Source organism: Homo sapiens, chromosome 8 (genome assembly GCF_000001405.40).
Source record: "Homo sapiens chromosome 8, GRCh38.p14 Primary Assembly".
Classification (NCBI taxonomy): Eukaryota; Metazoa; Chordata; class Mammalia; order Primates; family Hominidae; genus Homo; species Homo sapiens.
Genome location: NC_000008.11, coordinates 141,708,285 through 141,711,331, shown reverse-complemented (window position 1 = coordinate 141,711,331; position 3,047 = coordinate 141,708,285).

The following is a 3,047-nucleotide window of genomic DNA, read 5'->3' as shown; positions in this document are numbered from 1 at the left end:
CCTGTCCAGCATTCCTGCATGGAGCAGGGGGCTCAGAACATACGTATCCAGGGAATGAATTCATTCCCCTTAGAAAAAGGCATGACAGCAGTAACAATCACTCCCTAAACCCATGTGCATATTGGCCCCACACCACCGGGTGACTGTCCACTTGTACAAGCACGTGGCTCTGGGAGTCACCACCCTCCCAGGCCTGTTCCTGGGCCCCAGCTGGGCTGGAGCCAGTTCCCCCAGTTTCCCTGGTCCCCAGCCCCTCCAGGTCCTCCCAGGCTCTCCCAGGCTCCATGTCCATACAAAGCCCCCAAGGCACACAGACACCCCAGGCCTGGCTCTGTGCACACGTGTGTTTGTTCTCATGATTGGACGGCAAGTCCCTGGAAGGAGGAGCTGGGTGCATCATCTTGTGCTGTGTGGCCTGGCCCAGGACAGGGACCAGGACCAATTTGCCTGGAGGGCCAGGCACACAGGGCAGGGAACTGAGCACAGCAGGCTGGGGACTGGCTGCGGCTCTGGGCGCAAGGGAGGAGGAGGAACCAGAGAGACGGAGAGGCCTTCACCCCCATCCTCCGCCTCATCCTCTGCCCTCCCTCCGCACCAGCCTGGCCATCAGTGAGGAGCCTTTGTCCAGCCAGTACCTTTGCAGAGCGACCTCCTAGGTGCTCTCCAAGGAAACCCACACCCCCTCAAGACCAGAATGGCAACTTCTTCTCACAGCCCCTCCAGAGACACCCTCTTCCCTTACCATGCTCTTCCATCCTGCACTTCACACATAACTGCTAAGCATCTCTGCACACCAGGGGTGAGCAGGAGGACCATGAGCCACGCTGAGCTGGGGAGGTGATGCCCCTCCCCGGGGCCCTGTACCTGTCCTCTGCTGTCACTCAGGCACACTTGTATCACCACAAGCAATGACCTGCTGTGGTGCCCACCATCACACTGAGGCTAAGTAGAGAAAGGATGGCATCTTCAAGCTAGTCCATGCCCCAGGCCTGGCACATAGTAGTTGCTCAACAAAGCAAGGGAGAGAGACATGGAGAGAGGAAGGGAGGGACAGGCAGCAGCTGGACTTTCTCTGCTGAGACTGCCTTCCTCTGGGCTGGCTGTCCGTCGAGGCTGGCTAAGCCACCCTGATCTCTGAGTCAGCAAGAGCCTGCATGTGTGCGTGGGGCTGCGGGTGGCGGGCGGTGGGCTGAGACACTCTCATGCCAAGCAGGCTCTGCTCTGTCCTCGCCGCCCGCACAGTTCTCACTGCCGCTTCTGAAAATGTCAACTTCTTATCTCGCCAGAATTTTTCCTGACTTGGAGAATTCAATAAAGCAGCTGAGTAACACTTAAAATAATAATGAAGCTCTGTATTTCTGCAACTCCCGGCTGGCTCTGGAGAGCCGGGGCTGCCTTTCCACGATGATCAATCTTCATTTTCACACCAGGCAGACAGCTCTGCTGGGCTGGGCCGGCCCCGCGGCCCGAGGGAATTGGCAGGTCCCCGGGATGCCGAGGCTCCCACCTGCCAATCAGAGAGCTCGTGAGAGGGGAGGCCGCCGAGGCGCAGCTTAAGGGTCCCGAGTTTCCCCTACACAACGACCTGCCCCCCAATCCAGCCCACCCCACTTCCCGCTCATGCTGCCCTCTGACCCTCGCCCCACACCGTCCCGTCCACTCCACTGACCCTCCAAAGCCCAGCTTAGGGCTCAGTTGGCCCTCCCTGACCCCAGGTCCATCCAAGCAGCATTTACAACCTGGGTGGGAGGAGGGTTGGATTGCCAATTCTTCCTGTCTGCAGAGGGTAGAAATGAGGCCCAGAGCGGGGCCCTCGCCCTCACCAGCTGCCGGCCATGCGCTCCACAGGTATCATGTGCTGAGCACAGGGAGCGAGGCCTGGAAGATGGGGGCTCGCTCAGGACCCTAGGGCTGCCAATGGCTGACTCCAAGCATGGAGTGGACTTTCTGCTAAGATCTGGCAGTCTTTTCTGACCTCCCTGGGGGTGGGACGCTGCTCTGAGGGGCCTGGGCCCTGACGGAGGTGGACCTGCCCCGGGATGACCCAGGCAACGTGGGACAGGACTAGGCAGGCAAGGCCTCCGGTCCCAACTCCTCTGCTGCCACTGCCCCTCTGTGCACTTGGTCAAGTTCCTCAGCCTCCAGGAGACTCGTTGTGCTCTCCTGCAAATAGGGACAAGGTGGTCTCCTCCAGCGGGGCACCGGGGGTGCTTGCAGATGCCTGGTCACTGCCCTCCCACTCACCAAGCCCTGTCACACGGAGCTGCGGCTAGATCCGCCCTTCCCTCACCGCTCACACTCCATCCCTCAGGACCCAGCGCTGCTTGGTTTGAATCTCCTCCAATTTGTCAACAATCTTCTCAGATAGAGCTCTTATTGAATGCCTGCAAATTGACTCCCAGGATAACGAGAACTAATTAATCTTCCTTCCTCCCCCCAGAACCTGGCCAACATCGATGGGGGCCACCCCTCGCTGACTCTGTCTTTGGGGACAGGGCAATATCAGGCAAGGAAGGGCCCAGCTTAGAGGGCAGGCCTCAGGGCCTGGAGCAGGTGGGACGCTCTGGGCCGGAGACCCCATCCTAGCCTGGCCCTGCCTTGGGCTCACACTCAGCCTGGGGAAAGCCCAGCCCACCTCTTCATCTGGGAAAAAAATGAGCCCAGGTCCAACTCCTTCCCAAGGTCGCTTAGTGTTCAAATGGGACAATAGGTGCTTTAAAAATCCTCCAGGGAGGTAGAAAAGCCACACAAATGGGAGATGTATTACGAAGCCACATTGCCTGGGATGTGGTAAATCAACGTTTAAAATACAATCAAGTCTGTAAGTAAGCATCTAGGGACACAATCCTGCACATTCGCTGACATATTGTCCAGGCTGCTTTCATGCTGCCAGGCAGAGCTGAGGATTCCAACAGAGACCGGGTGGTCCACAGAGCCAAAAATACTGTTTGGCTGGTGGCAGGGCAGCCCTGCTTTAGACTTGGAGGCAGAGGGGTTCCCCTGAGTCTCCCTGGCCCCATGCAGTGCAGCCTCCGTCCCTGGAGCTC